We start from the raw sequence: 19,490 nt of genomic DNA, 5'->3' as shown, positions 1-19,490 counted from the left end.
TCTCTGTTTTTATAATTCAAATTAGTCTTTTGCCCATTTGACTTGGAAGCTTTCTGCTTGTATAAATTAAGTAGGAATGCAGTAGGCTTCCTACCAATTTCACTTCTAGGAATACCAGGATTAATTAGCCAATGACAGAGCTCTACATAAGTCAGACTATTCTGATTGCCATTTTGCCTCTGCTGTACATTACAGTAGCTACACCCACCTTGCCTTTGATGGTTGAGTGCCACCACTTGGACCCTGCCACCTCGGGATCCAATTATTCCCATTGTATTTAAATTTTTTAGTTGAGTGACTGCAGTTCCCACCGTTAGATCTGACATGCAGAGAAGAGCAATTACAGGGCTCTTCAAAGATGCAAGTGCTGCCCTCACAAATCTGTTTCACAATGCCTTGGTCAAGGGTATATCTTCTGGACCCTCCCAGCTGGAATGAGTAGGTCTAAAGTGACTAATCCACTCCACCATCCCAGTCTCCCTGAGCCTTTGGATCTCTTCCTCTACATTAAACCAAGGGAGATCAGGCATTTCCATCTCGCTCACAGTGGGCCATCTTTTATCCATATTTCAGCTAACCAAGCAAATAAACTATTAGAACCTTTTTTAACTCCCTGAGCTGCAACATTAAATGCAGAGTCCCTACTTAGTGGGTCCAAATCAATAAATTCAGCCTGATCCAACACTATGTTCCTTCCACCATTATCCCACACTCTTAATATCCATTCCCATGCCTGTTCTCCAGATTTCTGTTTATATAAATCAGAGAACTCAAACAGTTCGAGTGTAGCATACCTCCTCATGGGTCACACTCTCAACCTCACCTCTAGGGGCCTGCTGGGACTTTAGTCCAGTTATAGGTCTAGAAGCAAACAGAGGTGTTGGGGGTGCCTCTCAAAGAGAATCAACATTATCTTGCCTGGCAACTGCTTCAGGGGAGGCCTTGACTGTTGCCTCTGGCAGCACAGGGTTTACCTTCTCAGACAAAGGTGGAAAGGCTGATGGCAGCATGGGTCGGGGAGGGGATGTTGCCACTATTGGGAATGGAGAAGCTGTTCCTTCTGGCAAAAAAAGGTTCATAAGAGTTTACAAACTCAATGTCCCCAGCTTCATCAGGGTCCTCCTACATGTCCCCAGCTTCATCAGGGTCCTCCTACATGTCCCCATTCTAAGTTTCAGAGTCCCATTCTTTTCCAATCAATGCCCTCACTTTAACAATAGACGCCTGGCAAGGCTGTGCATGCATTTTTCATTGCAGGTCAGCCACTCACATGATAAGAGCTTGTGTCTGTTTTTACACAATTTCAGCTCTTTCTCTACAGGAGATAAGACTCTAACTCAGGACAGTCTTAGCATACTTGAGGCTCAGTATCTGCTTCTGAAGCTGGGAGATAGAATCCCTGAGTTCATCATTTTCTTTCATCACTGTCTACTGAACTTAGGAGCAACCAACCAGCTTCATTATGTTCCTTGGTTCTCCACATATGGTCAAAGGTATTATGTAGTCACTAAACTCCTTGCCTCTCAATGAACCGTGAATCAAGAGTGTCAAATGCATTTATTTTGCATAACTCTCTAAACAGTTCATGCCAAGGACTATCAGTGTTCTCCATACTATTAGAAGTAGAGTCCTTAGCATTTTTGGGTCTAATCATATTAAGCAGCCAACTCCAGAAACCCCAAAACCAATGAAAGAACTCCATCCTTAATACCAAAATCTGTATTAATTAGGGTTCATCCTTAATACCAAAATCTGTATTAGTTAGGATTCTCTAGAGGGACAGAACTAATAGCAGATATATATATATATCTGCTATTAGATATATATATATATATATATATATATATATATATATATATATATATATATATATATATAAAGGGCAGTTTATTAAGTATTAACTTACATGATCCCAAGGTCCCACAATAGGCTGCCTGCAAGCTGAGGAGCAAGGAGAGCCAGTCCAAGTCCCAAAACTGAAGAACTTCAGTTTGATGTTCGAGGGCAGGAAGCATCCAGCACAGGAGAAAGATGTAGGCTGGGTGGCTAGGTCAGTCTCTCCTTTTCACATTTTTCTGCCTGCTTTATATTCACTGGCAGCTGATTAGATTGTGCCCACCAGATTAAGGATGGATCTGCCTTCCCCATTCCACTGACTGAAATGCTAATCTGTTTTGGCAACACCTTCACAGACACACCCAGGATCAATACTTTGTATCCTTCAATCCAGTCAAGTTGATGCTCAGTATTAACCATCACATATGCATAAAAAATATAAAAGAATATTTTACAAAATTATCATAATGTGCGTTGATGAAATACAAAGCAGGGAAAGCAGCAAAAGTCAGTGTTCAGAGTCAAATGTGCTGATCCAAGGTAGTGTGAATTTCCTAGGGCTGCCAGGAGTTAACAAATTACCACAAACCAGGAGGCTTAAAACAATAGAAACTTATTCTGTCACAGTTGTGGAGGCTAGAAGTCCAAAATCAAGGTGCCAGCAGGGTTGGTTCCTTTGGAGACACTGAGACACAATCTGTTTCCTGCCTTTCTCCTGGCTTATGGTGGTTCCTGGTAACTCTTGGCATTCCTTGGGTTGTAGATGCATCAACCAAATCTCTGCCTCCATCTTCACATCACCTCATTTTCTGTGTGTCTTCTTTCCTGCCCCATGTAAGGATACCCATCATTTAATTTAGGGCCCATCCTCATCCAGGATTATCTCATCTTGAGATTCTTAATTACATCTGCAGAGACCTATTTCCAGATAAGTTTACAGTCACAGGTATTGGGGGCTAGGACTTGGACATCTCTTTTTGGGGGTACTATTCAACAACTTCAGTCCACCCTGTGATACCCAAATTTCATGCCCATTTCACTTGCAAAATACATTCACCTAACACCAACATTCCCAAAAGTCTCAGCCCATGACTGTATCCTAAGTCTAAAATGTCATTGAAATATCATCAGCTCAAAAGTCCCAAATCTCATCATCTAAATCATCTCCATCTGGTATGCATGAAACTCTAGGTATGATCCATTTTGGGGCAAAATCTCTCCATTTTTAAACTAGAAAACAAATTAATTGGCCAGGTGCAGTGGTTCACGCCTGTAGTCCCAGCACTTTGGGAGGTCAAAGCAGGAGGATCACTTGAGCCCAGGAATTTGAGACCAGTCTGGACAACATAGTGAGACCCTGCCTCTACAAAAAAATTAAAAATTAGCCAGATGGGCTGGGTGCGGTGGCTCATGCCTGTAATCCCAACACTTTGGGAGGCCGAGGCTGGTGGATCATGGTGAAACCATGTCTCTACAAAAAGCACAAAAGTTAGCTGGGCATGGTGGCACATCCCTGTAATCTTAGCTACTCAGGAGACTGAGGCAGGAGAATCGCTTGAACCTGGGAGGCAGAGGTGGCAGTCAGCTGAGATCACACCCCTGCATTCCAGCCTGGGTGACAGAGTGAGACTCCATCTCAAAAAAAAAAAAAAAATTAGCCAGGTGTGGTGGTGCATACCTATATCCTAGCCTCCTCCAGGAGGCTTAGGCTGGAAGATTGTCTGAGCCCTGGAGGTGGAGGCTGCAGTGAACTGTGGTCATGCCACTGCACTTTAGCCTGGACAACAGAGCTAGACAAAAAAAAAAAAAGAAAAAGAAAAAAAAAGAAAGAAAGAATAAATTAATCTGCTTTCAAAATACAATGGTGGAGGACAAGCATAAGTAAGTCATTCCTGGCCAGGGGTGGTGGCTTACACCTATAATCCCAGCACTTTGGGAGGCTGAGGCAGGAGGACCATTTGAGCCCAGAAGTTTGAGACCAGTGTGGGCAACATAGTGAGACCCTATCTCTATTTAAAAAATAAATTTTAAAAAATAAAAATTTTAAAAAGTAAGTCATTCCTGTCCCAACAAGGAGAAATTGGAAGGAACAAAGGGGTCACCATTCCAAGCAAGCTTGAAATCCAGCAGGGGAAATTCCATTAGGTTTCAAGGCCTGAGAATAATCCTCTGTGGCTCACTCCCCTGCCCTCTGGGACCACAGAGACTCCATCAGCCCCTGCCTCTAGGCCTGCCTCTTTGGACCCTGCCTCTGCATCCACAGCTTTGCTCTGAGTCATTCTTGCTTTTCCTTGAAGGTTAGCATGTGTTTGTAGTTAAGTAGCTCTATTAGCCTATTTCCTGCCTGTAGAATCCCAGAGGTCCCATAGTTATTTTCATTTTCCATTTCATCTTATCTCTGTCCTTTCTGTACAAGCTAGCAGTGTTTCTGTATGTATAACAGTCTCAAAAACTTTGTAGACCCCCTTTGTATTTCAAGGGTATCCATTCTAGATAACTCTATCTCTATTTCTGGCTTCTTCTGGGATGGTCGATTGGGTTCATGAGACATACCTAATCTCTTTAGCAAAATGTTGTCCAGCTACATCCTTGACCCTCTCTCTAGGGCACACTTTTCCTACAATGAGTTTCTTAACTTAAGCATCCTTTGTGAACTAGGTAGGCTGAGAACCTCCCAAATAAAAAAGCCCTGGTTTCTCTTGGCTTAACGGTTCTTTTCTCAATTTATCTTCTGTATCATTTTCCTGTAAGTACAAAGAGAAACCAGGCCACACCTTCAACACTTTGCTTGGAAATCTCCTCAGCTAAATATCTAAGTTCATCACAGCCTTCAAGTTCTGTTTCCACTCGACAGTAGAAAACAATATATCCACACTTCTGCCACTTTATAATAAAGATGGCCTTTCTTCCCTTTCTAATAACACGTTTCTCATTTCCTTCTGAGACCTTACCAGAAGCATCTTTAACATTCATATTTCTACCAGCATTCCATTCATGATATATATACAATGGGCCCTCCATATCTCCGGGTTCCGCATCCATGGATTCAGCCACCACAGATCACAAATATTCAGGGGAAAAATACTAAAAAACAAAACAACAGTAAAAATAAAATAATAACAAGCAATACAGACCAGGCATGGTGGCTCACACCTATAATCCCAGCACTTTGGGACAAGAGGATTACTGGAAGCTAAGGGTTCAAAAACAGCTTGAGCAAGAAAGCAAGACCTCATCTCTACAAATAATAATAATTAAAAAATTTGCCAGGTGCAGTGGCATGTGTCTGTAGTCCCAGCTACTTGGAAGGCTGATGCAGGAAGATTGCTTGAACCTAGGAGTTCAAGGCTGTGGTGAGCTATGATTGCACCACTGCACTCCAGCTGGAGTGACAGAGCAAGACCCCATCTCAGAAAAAAAAAAAAAAGAAAGAAAAAAAACCCAACAATACAGGATAACAACTGTGTTTACATAGCATTTACATTGTATTAGGTATTATAAGTAATCTAAAGGTGATTTAAAGTATACTGGAGGATATGTGTAGGTAATATGCACATCTTTGCCATTTTATAGCAGGGATTTGAGCATTCATGAATTTTGGTATCCATCAGGATCCTAGCACCAGTCCCCTGGGATACTGAGGCATAACTCTATTCTCTAGGGCAATAGAAGCTTTCTTTTCTATGCTGTTCACTTCCTCTGAGCCCTCATCAGATCATCTTTAAAGCTCATATTTCTGCCAGTCATCTCTTCAAGGAAATCTACTAGGCTTTCTTTATTATACACCTTGAAATTTTCCCAACCTCTACCCGTTAGCCAATTACAAAGTCTCTACCACATTTTTAGGTATGTGTTATAGCAGCAACCCCTTCCCAGTATCAAAATCTGTGTTAGTTTCCTAGGACTGCTGTGACAAATCACCACACACAGGGTGGCTTAAAACAGTAGAAGTGTATGCTCTTATGGATGTGGAGGCCACAAGTCTAAAATCCAGGTGGTGGCAGGGTTGGCTCCTTCTGGAAGCCCTGAGGGAGAATCTCTTGTAGGTTTCTCTCCAAACTTCTGGTTATTGCTGGCAATCCTTGGCATTCCTTTCTGAGTAAATGAACCACTCCGATCTCTGCCTCCCTCTTCATGTCACCTCTACTCTGTATGTCATCTTCTTTTCTGTCTCTTATGAGGACACACCATTGGATTTAGGGCCCACTCTAATTCAGGGTGATCTCATATTTCTAAATAAGGTTACACTCTCAGATACCTGGGGTTGGGACTTGGACATATCTTTTGGGGACCACTCTTCAGTCCACTACAGGCAGACTTCCCGTAGAAGGTAAATGTTAAGGGTTCAGGATGGAAAAGCTGGGTGGGGGATAAGGCACTTGTCAGAGCCCTGTTTTCCCATGGCAGCAGGAACGCCCCAAGAGTGCTGTGTTTCCTGGCGAGGGGAAGGTCAAGATGAGCGTGGAGGAGCAGATTGACCGAATGCGGCGGCACCAGAGTGGCTCCATGAGGGAGAAGCGGAGGAGCCTGCAGCTCCCGGCCAGCCCGGCCCCCGACCCCAGTCCCCGGCCAGCCTACAAAGTGGTAATGCCTTCCCAGCTACCCACAGGCGTGAGCCTGGCATCTGCCAACACTGCCCACTCCCAGGGCATGGCCAGCTTGGGCCTGGGGGGTTTGAGAGGAAGGAGAGGGGAAAGAACCCAAGCTGGGCACCTGGGAGAGCCGGAGAGTCCTCTCCCCCATCGGCAGAAGAGTCCTTCAAGTGTTGACTTTTTCTTGTTTAAAGAAAATAACTCACAAAAAGGAATGCCTTAATTATGTTTGTTGAAATGAATTATACAAAATTCACTTAATAGAGAATAGTACAGAATTCACCACACAGAAATAGCTGTCACTTACACCCATTTCTGGAGCATCTCCTCTGTGCCTAGCACTGGGCTGGCTGCGATGAAGATAATCATAATAGCTCACCATTGCATGGCACAGTATAATCCACAAATCCCTTTCATGTTATTTCATTTAATCCTTTTAACAACATTGGGTTAGGAATTATTATCCCTATTTTGCAGATGGGGAAACAAAGTCAAGAGAAATTAAAGGATTCCTGGGCTACACAGCTATTAAGTACAGAGCTGGATGTAGCCCAAGACATCACTTAAATTTTCTTTCCATTAAATTTTAGAAATATGGAAAAATTATGACTCATAAGTCCTGTCCTCAACAGCTTACATTCTAGTTGATGGATTAGAACTTCTATAATATGAAATCACTGGAAGTTAGCCGGGTGTGGTTGGCTCCTCATGCATGTAATCCTAGCACTTTGGGAGGCCAAGGTGGGAAGATTGTTTGAGACCAGGAGTCTGAGACCAGCCTGACAACAAAGCAAGACCCTATCTCTATAAAAACATGTTTAACAAGTAGCTGGGCATGGTGGATTCACCTATAGTCCCAGCTACTTGGGAGGAGGCTGGGATGGGAGGACTCGAGGCCAGGAGTTGGAGACTGCAGTGAGCTATGATTCTGTGACTGTACTCCAGCTAGAGTGACAGCAAGACACTGTTTCTTAAAAAATAAAAAGAAGAAATCAATACAAGTCACACTAATTCAGCTGCCCAAAATATGTAGCACAGAATGAGAATACAGGGTAGAGCAGGATGGGGAACAGCAAGAACTGACAAGAGATGATGAGATGTTGCCCCTGGGGCCTAGCAGGTGGGCAGGCTTTGGGCCAGCAGAAAGGAAGGAAGATAGTTCTGCAGTGGGGTATGGTGGGAGCAGTGGGGTGGCAGCTAGATCAGGCGAGCTGGGAAGGGAAAGCGAGGACAGGGCATAGCTAGAGCTGCCTGGAGGCATGGGTAGCCATGGTGCAATCACGATGCTGCTGTCCCCTAGGTGCGCCGCCACCGCAGCATCCATGAGGTAGACATCTCCAACCTGGAGGCAGCCCTGCGGGCAGAGGAGCCTGGCGGGCATGCCTACGAGACACCCCGGGAGGAAATTGCCCGGCTTCGCAAAATGGAGCTAGAGCCCCAGCATTATGACGTGGACATCAATAAGGAGGTGAGTGGAGCCAGGAAGGGCTGTAGTGGGAGACTCTGGGAAGGGACAGAGGTGGTGACCCCAGCCCCTCCATAGCTCTCCACTCCAGACAAAGTCCTCATCCCTGAACGGTACATTGACCTGGAGCCTGACACTCCCCTGAGCCCTGAGGAGTTGAAGGAGAAGCAGAAGAAGGTGGAGAGGATCAAGACACTCATTGCCAAATCCAGGTAACCAGCCTGGGTGAGCCTCTACTTCCTCTGCTCACCCTGGCACCTAGGACACCTGGGCCACTAGAAGTCGTTGGGGGCACAGAGCCTCCCCAGGGGAGAGCACATCGAGGTGGTGACTCCAGGCAGCAGACAGGGCCCAGCTACCGGCAGAGGCAAGGATGCTGCTGTCAGGTGCTACTAAGACCTGCCAGGCTCGTGCACACCACACCATCGAGACAAAACTGAAGGCTCGCCCTCTGGTGACTTCTTTTCCCCTTCAAGGCTGCCCTAAATGCTCACTTGAACCTTTTAATTCATTTGAGAACATTGAAGGTAGGGGTCCCAACCTGTGTTTTGCCAGGGTCCCACTCACTCCTAGGGACAGCCTTGCTGGGAACCAGAGACTGCACATTCACGGGGCCCTGGCCCTCCCTGCCAACCTCAGTCCGCAGGCCCCCTCAAGCCACTTGGACCATCCTGTCCCTCCCTCCATTTCTGTGTGTCTGTGCCTCTTCAGTATGCAGAACGTGGTGCCCATCGGCGAGGGGGACTCTGTGGACGTGCCCCAGGACTCAGAGAGCCAGCTGCAGGAGCAGGAGAAGCGGATTGAAATCTCCTGCGCCCTGGCGACCGAGGCCTCCCGCAGGGGCCGCATGCTGTCTGGTGAGAGGGGCTGGGCCTCGCTCCACCCTGCCAGGGAAACCAGCTGACCAGGTTTAAGGGAGGAAGCGTGGCACTGCTACAAGGGGGGCAGTAGCAAAGAGATACAAGGCTGAGGAGATGCTCCTCGAGGTTGAGACGAGCATCTGTTGAGCACCAGGTACTGTGCTAGGCTCAGGGAGGTGCAAAGGGGCCAGAGTTGCTGCATCCAGGAGCTCAGAGCCGGGATGATCCTTACAGCCACCTTAGGGAGTAATGGCCAGAGGCCATGCAGAGCATGGGGAGCCATTCTGCTTGGGCAGGTCAGGGAAAGGCACAGAGAAAAGATGACAGCTGAGTTTGACTGAGAAAGATAAAAATATTTCTCAGTTGCAGGGAGAGGGCCAGGTATTCCAGAGTATCCTTTCATTTCCTGCTTTTGCTGCATGCAAATAGGAAGAAGCCAAGAAAAGATAGTGAGGGCAACCAAAGAGTTGAGAGCGATGCAATTACCACCTTGGCTACTGATCCAACTCACTTTTCTGCTAAGAAAAGATAACTATGAGGAACTGACTTCACGCTGATACAAAGGCTACCAGGTCCTGACTAGATGCTGATAGGGCTGAGATCAACAGGGTCAGCTTCTACTCAGCCTGAGATATCATCCCAGAATAGATGAAAATGTAGTTGAGCTTTTAAGAATGAAAGAGATTCTGTATGAATGGGAGGGTTAAAGGGAGAGGAGAGACAGTGGGTAAATCAAGGAGCCTGGGAGACTGTTCCCTTCATCAAGATAAAGGTGCTTAGGATAGAGAGGTAGAGTGAGAGTGAGAGCTTTGAAGGCCACAGTTAAGAGGAATGACTCAGAAGGGGGAGCCATGGTTGGAGATGACACTGGCAGAGAAGCTAGAGCAGGTGTGCAGGCCACCATTCCAGTAGCCCAGGCAAGAACCAGGCCATGAGCAGGTTAGAACCGTGGCTCAGAACATAGTGGAAGGGATGGCGTTTCATGTTGGTGATTGAGGAGGTTCAAATTCTGGTGCTCTGAGGCTCCATTTCCTCATCTGTGAAATTCAAATCAAAATTCCTGCCTCCAGTGCTGGTGGTATGAGGATTGGAAACAATGTGTGCCAAACACCTAGCACAGTGCCTGGCATTCAGTAAGTGCTCAATACATGCTCGCGTGCCGTAGTAGTGGTGACAGTAGCAGTAGCGCTGTGTTGCTGGTAGTAGTAGTTGAAATAGCAATAGATGAAGTAGAAATAGAAACCATTTGTCATTTTGCTAATTATTTTAAATATGGATATTTTCAGAAACCAGATTTTAGCTACAGAAAAGAGGATTTAAGTAAGCCTTAATGAAGAACCTTCTGCCAGTTAGGGTGTAATGGACTTTAGAATGGGTGTCCAGGGAGAGCCTTGGAGGTATTTCAGGGAGAGGCTGTCTTTAGGCTGGAGTTGAGGGTAAGAGAAGGGATAGCTTCAGAGAGCCCCATCCTGCAGCCAAAAGGCAGCAAAACCAGTCTGGCCACAAGGAAGCAGGCCTCTGTTGAACCTCCCTGTAGTTTAGCTGCAAAATGAACTTGAACCTTCCAAAGATCAGATTCCACATGCTCTGGGCAAAAGGCAACTTCCTGTTTCAAGGGGTTAGAGAGACAAGGCTGGTTTAAAAACCTTGCTCAGCCCCAGCCCCAGCCCCTGGCGCTCTCTACTATAGTTCCTCAGCCAAAGGTCCCATGAAAACAAAACCCACCCGGCCTATCCGATTTCCGTCTTGATACACATGGGCTTACATGTCAGGGTCTGTGTGCTGAAACCAAACGGTCACCTTGCTTTTGCCAAAACCCCAACTATTTAAAAAAGGGCTGTGGCAGGGCCAGACCTCAGACTCAGCCCACTGTTCCCACCGCCCCTGGCCTGTGGCCCAGCTCCCCAGAGCTACAGCTCTGCCAGGCACAGCAAGACTGGTCCTGGGCATGCACTGTGTGGGCACAGGTTCACACCCAGGACACTGTGTGTGTGGCAGTGCTGGGCACAGGTCATGAGCACAGCGTGCAGCGGGTGCAGCGAGTAGAGTTCAGTGCCCGCGTGTGGTGTGTGGCATGGACAGAGTAATCAGTGAGGAATGCTGTTATGCTTACAAATCCACCCGGTGCGTGCAGACTCAGGTATGTAATATGTGGAAGTCATGGCATTTTTTGAGTTTGTACGTGTGGCGCGAATGTCTTGTGCAGTGTCTGGATCTGGTCATGTTTGTAGATTCATGCATTTATTTGTGTGTATTCAAGTATGCAGTGTGAGAGTGGAGGAAAGGTTTGAGTACAAATGTAGGAATGTGTATTATGTCTGTGTAAAATGTCTAAGGATGTTGTGTGGAGACCTGTTATTTATGAATCCAGGTGGTATATGGTAAGGTGTTGGAGCATAAATGTACATGTATGTGAGTGTACAATACATTGGTGGAGGTGGTGTTTATGAATGCATGTATTTATGTGTGATTGGCTTTTCCGCAGTATGGGAAATGATAAAGCATATTTGTGTATATGTTGTGTACAGTGTATATATTGCAATACTGTGAACTTCTGTCTGTGTGCACAGGCTGGGAGAAAGTACAGTGTCATGAATGTGAGTATGTGTGACTGATCATTTCTGCATGCATGTGGTACTTGTGATTGCACACATTATAATATCACATCTGTATGATTCACATCTGCAGCATATGCAAATCTTAACTATTTTGATGGATATATTTCTAATATATATTTAGTATTTTTCTGCCTTCTTAACAAAGTTCTGTTTACATATGACCTCTTCTTGCTCATGTATTATCATTATAAATATCTTTATTTTGCCGATCTCTGTTAAAGGAATGCCCTTAGGGCCACAATGGACATAGATCTGTTTGTAGCTATGCTAAATGTTCCCAAACTGTCACTCTTTTAAAGCTGTTATGTCTGCTTTTTACAAAATATTTTTTCTCCTCAGTCGTGCTTTCTTACAGATGTCAGTGGGCCTCCCAATTCCTCTGTCTCTTTGAATTTTCCTGTTTCTAATCTCCCCTGGGCTAGAAACCCAGCGAGTCAACACCTTTTAGAATTGCGTATAAATAAGAGTAACTGGACTCCAGGGGGTCCATATGAGTAAATTCTGAGAGCCTCGCTGCATGTCCTGTGGGCTATAACCTCTATGTTGGCTTCCTGGAGATATCTTTTGCTTCGTTTTTGGTTTCTTGGCTGTTTTAGAAGTTGAGACTGCTAGATGACTAAGCGTTGGGTCAGTGATGTGGCTATGCACACGAATGTGTGTTTGAAAGTGTTTGTGAGTGTATTTGCACATGAAGTTACAAGTGTTGGGTCATGTGGAAGGGCACAGGCTTGGAAGTACACAAATACGCTTATGTGAGCTGTGTGCGATGAGTGTAATGATATGGACTTGCCAGATCCCATGCACAAACTTTGTATCGTGTATAGGCAGAAAACTTCACATCCATGCGAGAACTACATGTGTTCTATGCACATGTAGGTGTATTAGATATGTAATGACAGTAGCCACCTTGGCTCTTTCTCTTGCACAGACGGCAGGGAAGGTGATGAAGTCCAGGGTAGGGTGGGGGACGAGGGACTGGGAAGTTCAATTTTGGGTCCCCTCTCTCGGTGGAAATGCAGTGTGACACTGGCTGAGGTCTGGTTCCTTTCTGAGCCTGAGTGAGGATGTTGTCTCTGCCATCCTCCTGCCTCGCGGCTACAGTGAGGATGCATAAGGGTCTGGAGACTGCATAGAGCTTGTCCCCAGTAATAAGTCTCCCCTTCTCATTGTCCTTCCACTTTGCTATTCTTAACATGGAATAATAATGATAATAGAGTAAAATCTCATTAATTCAAACATCATTTCAGGCTTGTCTCGATTTGCTCAGGGGTGGACCGAAGTTTGCCTTTACTGGACTGATGAAAAGGGGGTCTCAAGTGTTAGCAGGGAACATGTTTCCGAGCCCTTGACTGTGCCAAGTTGACAGAACTCGCTTTAAGTTTATTAGAAATCTCTGTTTTTATGGCATTGATTAACATGGTGGTCACTTCACTTCTGTTCATTAAATGGGGCCAGATGGTTTGGATTAGTGTGATTTTACTGCACTATTAATCATTATCATTAGTGACACTGCCGTATATAAAGTACCACTCCCTGGTTCTGTCTGCACAGTAGTGGAGAGGTGTGTGAATCTCCCCATTGTGTGGATGGGAGGGGAGCCCTTTGCCCAGAGATGGCCTGGCCTTACCCACAGTCACACTGGTTCTCAGCAGAGCCTAGATTCGGCCAGGTCTCCTCTGGGGCCTCACACTCTCCTCCACGACGCCCTGGGAATGAGGACAGCTTGGCCTAGCTTGAGCAAGCTCCAAGCTCAGTGCTCTCTCTTCGCTTGCCTCCCTGCCTCACTCCCTGCCTGGGGAGGGCCTCGCTTGCTCTGGGTGCCCACCCTCCTCCCCCACCCACCCCCATTCACCTCCCTGTTCATTTCTGTTTCCAGTGCAATGTGCCACCCCAAGCCCTCCCACCTCCCCTGCTTCCCCGGCTCCTCCAGCAAACCCCCTGTCGTCTGAATCCCCACGGGGCGCCGACAGCAGCTATACCATGCGGGTCTGAGCTCTGACGTAAGCACTTTTCTACTGTATTTCATCCACCTCGGGAGTGGGGCCCCTTCCTTCACCCCCATTGAGCCATCTATGCCCTCTCATTTTGGTATTGCTTCTCCCCTACCCCAGTGCCCTGTGCTGCTCCTCCCCACTATCCATCCATTCATCCATCCATCCGTCCATCCAGCTTCCCCACGCAGTGCTGGGCTGGAGCCAGCTGGCAGGGCCGCTTCTTGGATGTTGTGATGCCAATGGCCTTTGCTTCTCCAGAAGCAGGCAGGGAATGGAGCCGAGACCTCACCTGTCTGCTCTCAGGGAAGGCTCTTCCCTGACACCCCACCCCTGTGCCTCCTGTCTGCTGACAAGCTTTCCATCTGTTGAGATACACAGATGCAGAACCTTCAGAAGCCCTCAGAAGCTGTTTCTCCACTCCCAGATCTTACTGTAAATTAAAATAACATTGACAACTACGGCCAAAGGCTGTGAACCCTTCCCTTGCCCCTAGCCCACAGCCGCTCACTCTCAGTCAAGTAGAAAAGAACACTGACTTCCTTTCCTTTGTTCCCCTCTCAGGACTGAGGGACCGGAGTGGGTTTCTGCCAGGTTTTTGCAGGATGAGGCTTCTTTTTCCTGGGAAGGTTGGCTGGAGTCCTTGCTCCTCTGTGCAGCACTCTTCTCACTCCATTTCTTTTTTCTCCAGTGCAAGCCCTGGCTGAGGCCAATGCTGTGAAGCTCCACAGAGCCACATTCTGAAGCCGTCCTCTGCCCACCTGAGGTCCTGGCTCCCCACCCTGGCCCCCTGCCCCTGCACTCCCATGGGAATGCCGCAGGGAGCCAGGCTGGGGCCATGGGCTGCTGCCAGAGGACCGTGGATACCTCAGTGTCCACACACCCACCATGCCCAGCCCTGGAGCCATCACTACTCACACCGTGGTCCTGGGCCAGGGCCTGAGATGACAGTGGGGAGCACCATCCTCATTAATGTCCAAGTCACAGGGAGCCTCAGCCTTGCCCTGGCTGGGGTTGTGGTGACTCCAGTGGAACATTCCCTGATGGGGGACATGCCGTGGTGGAGAACACACCTGTGGCTATCTTATGTGAGGACTAGAGGTGAAGAGGAGATGGACACTGCCTCTGGAGCCAGCCTGACACCAAGGACAGCACTTGTCATCATCCCTATCCTCGTCAGCCCCACCCTACTGCCTCAGCTGGACCCAGGGCTTTGACACAAACCCAGTGCTTTGCTTATGGGTGCTCGCTGGGGTCCGGTGGAGACTGACCACCCTGCTTGAGCCAAAGACAAGGTGATGAGAGATGGGGAGAGGCCATTGGCTCCCAGAGGGAACAGTGCTGGCTGTGGCTAGAGAACAGCAGGTCTGTGCAGTGTCTGAGGGCAGGTTGGGAAGGGTAGCAGAGAGAGAGAGACAGAAAGAGAGAGAGAGAGAGAGAGAGAGAGAGATCCTCAGAGTGGAAGGAGGGGGAAGCAGCAGGACACATTGGCAAGTCAAGCAGGAAGGAGGGAGATGGAAAGGGGATATCAGATTGGTTTCCCCCGGTGGAGCCTTAGGTTAGTGCCCAGTGCAGTGCCAGACTGTCTCCTCTGCTCCTCCCACCTCATCCCTAGGAGGACCCACCAGTGGAGCACATGCAGCCTCAGTGGAGATGCTTGGTGTGGGGATCTGGGTGAAGGGGGTTGAGTAGCGACTGCCTGGGAGATGGCTGTTAGTAGGTCTGTGCCTGGTGTCTGCCTCGCCATCCTGGGGTAAGGGGCAGAGAGAAGGACTTGTCTTATGTAGGGTGTGGTCAGCCTTGGGGCCTTACCTACCCAGTTCCATGATATTTCTTGCCCTGTTCCCCCTGGAATGTGCAGTGGGCCAGCTGAGAGTACGCCTTGAGGAGGGGGGATGAGGCCTTAATCTGGGAGGCCTATCCCCCTATCCCAGGCATCCCAGACGAGGACTGGCTGAGGCTAGGCGCTCTCATGATCCACCTGCCCCGGGAGGGCAGCGGGGAAGACAGAGAAAAGCAAACGCATTCCTCCTCAGCTCCACCCACCTGGAGACGAATGTAGCCAGAGAGGAGGAAGGAGGGAAACTGAAGACACCGTGGCCCCTCGGCCTTCTCTCTGCTAGAGTTGCCGCTCAGAGGCTTCAGCCTGACTTCCAGCGGTCCCAAGAACACCTACTAATTCCTCTGCACTCCTTCATGGCTGGGACAGTTACTGGTTCATATGCAAGTAAAGATGACAATTTACTCAACAAATATTTATCGAGCACCTTTTATGTACCAGGCACTGTTGTAGGTGCTTAGGATATTCTCATGTTTCTGAGGGATTACAGCCTGGGAGGATTCCACCGATCTTCACTTCTAGCAGGTTTTTTAAACGTGACCCTTGGCTGTATTTCCCATCTTCACAGTTCAAGCACCCCAAACCTGCCCTTTCTCCCCTGCAGACTGGCAGGTGGGATTGGCTCCCAGGTCATTTCCTCTCTCTCTCTTTCTCCCAAGCCTTTCTCCCTCCACAGGAAACAGATTTTTCAGGGCCTTCCATGCCTGCCACTTTGTCCGTCTCTTTTTTTTTTTTTAAAGTAATATTTTTTAGAAATACATGTAAAATACCAAGAAATAATGTCTGCGCCTCTGCCACCTCTCTCTCATCTCTTATTTCATAAAGCTGGCTCTTTATGTTGCTTTACATGCCTTAATATATGTTTTATGGAGATTATACATATTATAGATCTATATATGTAATATATTTGTTTGGATGTCTGATCTTTTCCTACAGTTCCTGCCCAGGCCTGTTTTTCTCTCCCTTATTTTCCACATCATTCCTAGCATATCAAGACCATACCCCTTGCCTTTTTGATCCAAAGAAGGGGAGAGGAAAGACTTATTTTAAGACATCTATTTTATGCTTTTGTTTAAAAAAAGCAAATCTATTTTCAAATTGTGCAATGTCTGAATGGAATTGGCAAATGAGGTGAGGAGATGGGGTAACTGCCTTTAGGTCCCAACCCTGTGCCTGTCCCTCTGCCACAGTGGCTTCCTTCCATCCTATTCCCCAGTCACGAAAGGGCTGGTCCCCAGAGCTCACCCAGAAAGCATCTTGCCGGGGGCAGGGCATTCCCTCGGAAGTCCTGGCCTAAGGATTTTATTACACTGTCTGCTCCTGATGACCCTCTGCGGTTGTCAGGCGTGAATCCTCTGGAAGGAACTGTTTGCAGTTGTATGCACAAAGGAGACCCATGCAGGCATGCACCCCAGATGGGCTGCTAGACTACCCCTCTTCATCAGCCTGCTGGAAAGAGCAGACAGCGTAACAGCAGCCTATGCCAAACAGCACTAAGGATGTCAGTGTACGAGACGGTGCGAAGCCCAGAGGAGGCGGCTTGGGATCCTCTGGGCCATCCCTGGCCCTGTAGCACAGACACATACAAGTTCCTTGGACTTGTCACACTCCTTTTCACTTGATCCCTCTCTGGCCTGGGTCACATTTATGACATCCCCCCTCTGCAACCTTTCTCTCTGGGGGCTGTACCAAAGGCATGGTACCTCAGTCTGGTATCCAGACTGTGAAATCAGCCTCTGGGCCAAGGAGGGTCCTACAGACAAGGTGGCATCTCAACCTCACCCAAGAAACCCCCGGGACTTTACCCCAGCAGGCTGCCACTGGGGCACCGAACTAAGCCAGCTCAGCCTTCCAAGCTGCTTAGCCTTTGTCAACCATCAAAGTGGGGAAAGGGTCTCTGGCCTTGCAAGGATTTGGGCAGGATGGAAGTCTTTGTCTAGGTCTGAAATCAAGGGCTTGGGAATCTAGAGCAGAGCTCCTGGCCAGCGTTTGAAGCCTGGCCTCCCACCTGGGGCATTTACTGACACCCTGTCGCCAGCCTAGAACATCCTGCTCTGAATGAACAGAGCCCAGATGGGGGTCCAGAGCTAAGTGACCCACCTGGGGAAGCTCTGATTATTCATCCAGGGCCTTCTCAATGAGCACATTACCTCCATGATCAATAACCAAGAGGCTGCAGTCAAATACTGCTACTGTCACTTTGAAGATTTTCTAAGGGCACAAGTGGCACACTTGCTCTCCGGCCTTTGGGAGAGGCATGTTCTTGGGCAGGGCTGGCTACGGCAAGAGGGAACCAATTCCTTTCCCCTTTAGGCACCCTCTACCTGGCAGCTCTTAAAACTAAGAAAAAATATGATATACACACACATTATATATATATATATATATACACACACACACACACACACACGTATATCTATTTATGCACATATTGGGGCCAATTTGATTTGCTAGTATTAGACAATAAACTGTACAAGGAAATTTATTATCTCAGTGTCTTTATTTAGCATAAAAGTGGCCTTAGAAGAAGGGTGAAGGTTAGATAGATGGAATCTCTGTCAGGGGACAAACAGCTGTAGCATCCCCTTAGCATCTTTCTAGCCAATGAGCCCCCTCCCCAGGAGGAGGGATGGCCTGACTGAAACAGGTGAGAGTTTGCTTCCCCCTTTCAGCAGCATTCTTTTTAGATTTAGGTACTGAAGAATCCCAGTGAGTTCTGCATTTGTATCTTGCAAGTTTGTATAAACCCAATACAGGAAATAAAATGAATGGTTTGTATATGTGGTGTGTGTCTCCTACTCGGTGTCTGCCCTTGTGGTGCTTGTGGGGTTGTGGGGTTGGCAGCTTGTGGGGTTGGCAGGAAAGGGGAATGGGGGCTGGGAGGTAGGCTGGGTGTAAAACATGTGCTCCTTCCTCCCCTGTGCCTCAGCCTGCACTTTTTGGCCTCCATCCCCAGGAGCTGGGGAAGCGAGGGTATGCTACCAACACCAGCATCATCATTTCAGTTCAGGTGACCCCAGATCAGGGTTTGCCCCAAGGTTCTGTATAATGGCAGTATCAGATGCTTCAGGCCCTGGCACCTTCCCTTGGTTTGACTCATACAAAGGACAGGACAGCAGGAGAAGAGAATGAATTCCCAGCCTTTCTTGATTACTACACAATGCGCTATATTGCTGCTTTACAAGAAGTTGTATAATTTGGTGGGAGGTATGAGACCACCCCAGTTCTCATTCTGCCTCCATCCCTTTGGTTTATTTCTCTTGGCAGGTGTTTTGTGGTTATCAGGTATTGACACTCTGTGTGAAGGGCTTTACCAGTGCTTCTCAATTTGGAATCTTACTGTGGGGACCAAGAGTCAAGAAGCCTGGTAAATTTTGTGGGGTGGGTAGTGGAAGAGAAGAGGTGCGCCCGGGAGACTGGCAGGCTCAGCGGGGCTTCTGCATGTTGTCCGAGGGAGGGATGGCTCAAGAAAAAGCGAGAAGGAGAGATGAGAAAGCAAGCTTCCTCTAATTCCTGATCTTGCATCGGCTTGGCTTTCATGGCTGAAGCTGAATTCTGGACACCTGTTCCCATTTCTAAGGGCTAGTACGGGGGAGGTCATTTTTAAGATTCGACTCTATTTTGGATTTTGTCACATCCCCAGGATGATGTCCTTTGTGAACCCGGGAGAGTTGTGACCAGATGTAGGCTCTGGGGGAGGGCCTGCATCAGAGGCTGGGGTAGGGGGATGCATATTGGAGAACTCGTCACTTTCTGGGGGGCTGAGCCTTTATCTTCAGGCTCCATCTGAGCCAGAGCCAGTGGCAAGGGCTTGGGGAGGAGGTGGAATGTGAGACCACAGAGTACCACCGGGCATCACTGCATCCACCGACAAGGGCTGCCTCCTCCTCTCAAGAGATGATGCCAGCTGGTGCCTGCTCCATCCCCTACCAGATCAAGCCAGGTTGGGATTTGTAAAAAGGGGGTAGTAGCTGAGAAATGTAAATGAAAATGCAATAGCAGAATGTCCTTTAAGGAGCAGAGCTGTGTAACTGCATGATCACTTATTTATTCTTGAAGACAGGCACGACAGGGTCAGGCAGGCAGCCAAGCCTCAGACCCTGCTGCTGCCAGGGAACTGGGGCCACGCCACGTCCCCCTCCTCATCCCGAGCCTCACCTCGTTACTGAGACCAATGAGAGAAGGTGGCATGTCATCCTCAACTCCTGCCCCTAGCAACATGCTCCTTGCTAGCTGCATGAAGATTTGGACAAGTCATTAAATTCTTGAGTCTCAGTTCCCTCATCTG

The 19,490-nt window shown here is 47.9% G+C and overlaps 1 protein-coding gene across 31 annotated transcripts in view, besides 2 other annotated features; it reads left to right on the top strand.

Moving 5' to 3' along the window:
• PLEKHA6 (pleckstrin homology domain containing A6) overlaps positions 1-17,980 on the top strand; it is a 159,316-nt gene extending 141,336 nt beyond the window's left edge. For 20 of the 31 annotated variants that reach the window (XM_047449460.1, XM_047449455.1, XM_011509297.4 and 17 more), the window contains 5 exons: positions 6,244-6,420; positions 7,729-7,896; positions 7,972-8,105; positions 8,605-8,750; positions 13,248-13,371. In XM_047449460.1, the coding sequence (XP_047305416.1) occupies positions 6,244-6,420; positions 7,729-7,896; positions 7,972-8,105; positions 8,605-8,750; positions 13,248-13,363 (741 nt within the window). In that variant the 3' untranslated portion in view covers positions 13,364-13,371. Of the gene's footprint in view, positions 1-6,243; positions 6,421-7,728; positions 7,897-7,971; positions 8,106-8,604; positions 8,751-13,247; positions 13,372-14,053 lie in introns of those variants that run through there. The other 11 variants (XM_047449463.1, XM_047449459.1, XM_047449457.1 and 8 more) reach the window with 4 other exon arrangements.
• Positions 13,731-14,230: an enhancer, noted in NCBI's record as "H3K4me1 hESC enhancer chr1:204191731-204192230 (GRCh37/hg19 assembly coordinates)". NCBI's record gives its function as "activates a minimal SCP1, AML or CMV promoter by ChIP-STARR-seq in naive H9 embryonic stem cells {active_cell/tissue: H9 hESC(naive)}" and the evidence as "EXISTENCE:reporter gene assay evidence [ECO:0000049][PMID:30033119]".
• Positions 14,231-14,732: an enhancer, noted in NCBI's record as "H3K4me1 hESC enhancer chr1:204191229-204191730 (GRCh37/hg19 assembly coordinates)". NCBI's record gives its function as "activates a minimal SCP1, AML or CMV promoter by ChIP-STARR-seq in naive H9 embryonic stem cells {active_cell/tissue: H9 hESC(naive)}" and the evidence as "EXISTENCE:reporter gene assay evidence [ECO:0000049][PMID:30033119]".
• Positions 17,981-19,490: the final 1,510 nt, after the last annotated feature.

This window comes from Homo sapiens, chromosome 1 (genome assembly GCF_000001405.40).
Source record: "Homo sapiens chromosome 1, GRCh38.p14 Primary Assembly".
Lineage (NCBI taxonomy): Eukaryota > Metazoa > Chordata > Mammalia > Primates > Hominidae > Homo > Homo sapiens.
Note: the sequence above shows the minus strand (reverse complement) of the source record. Positions and strands in the feature narration are given on the sequence as shown.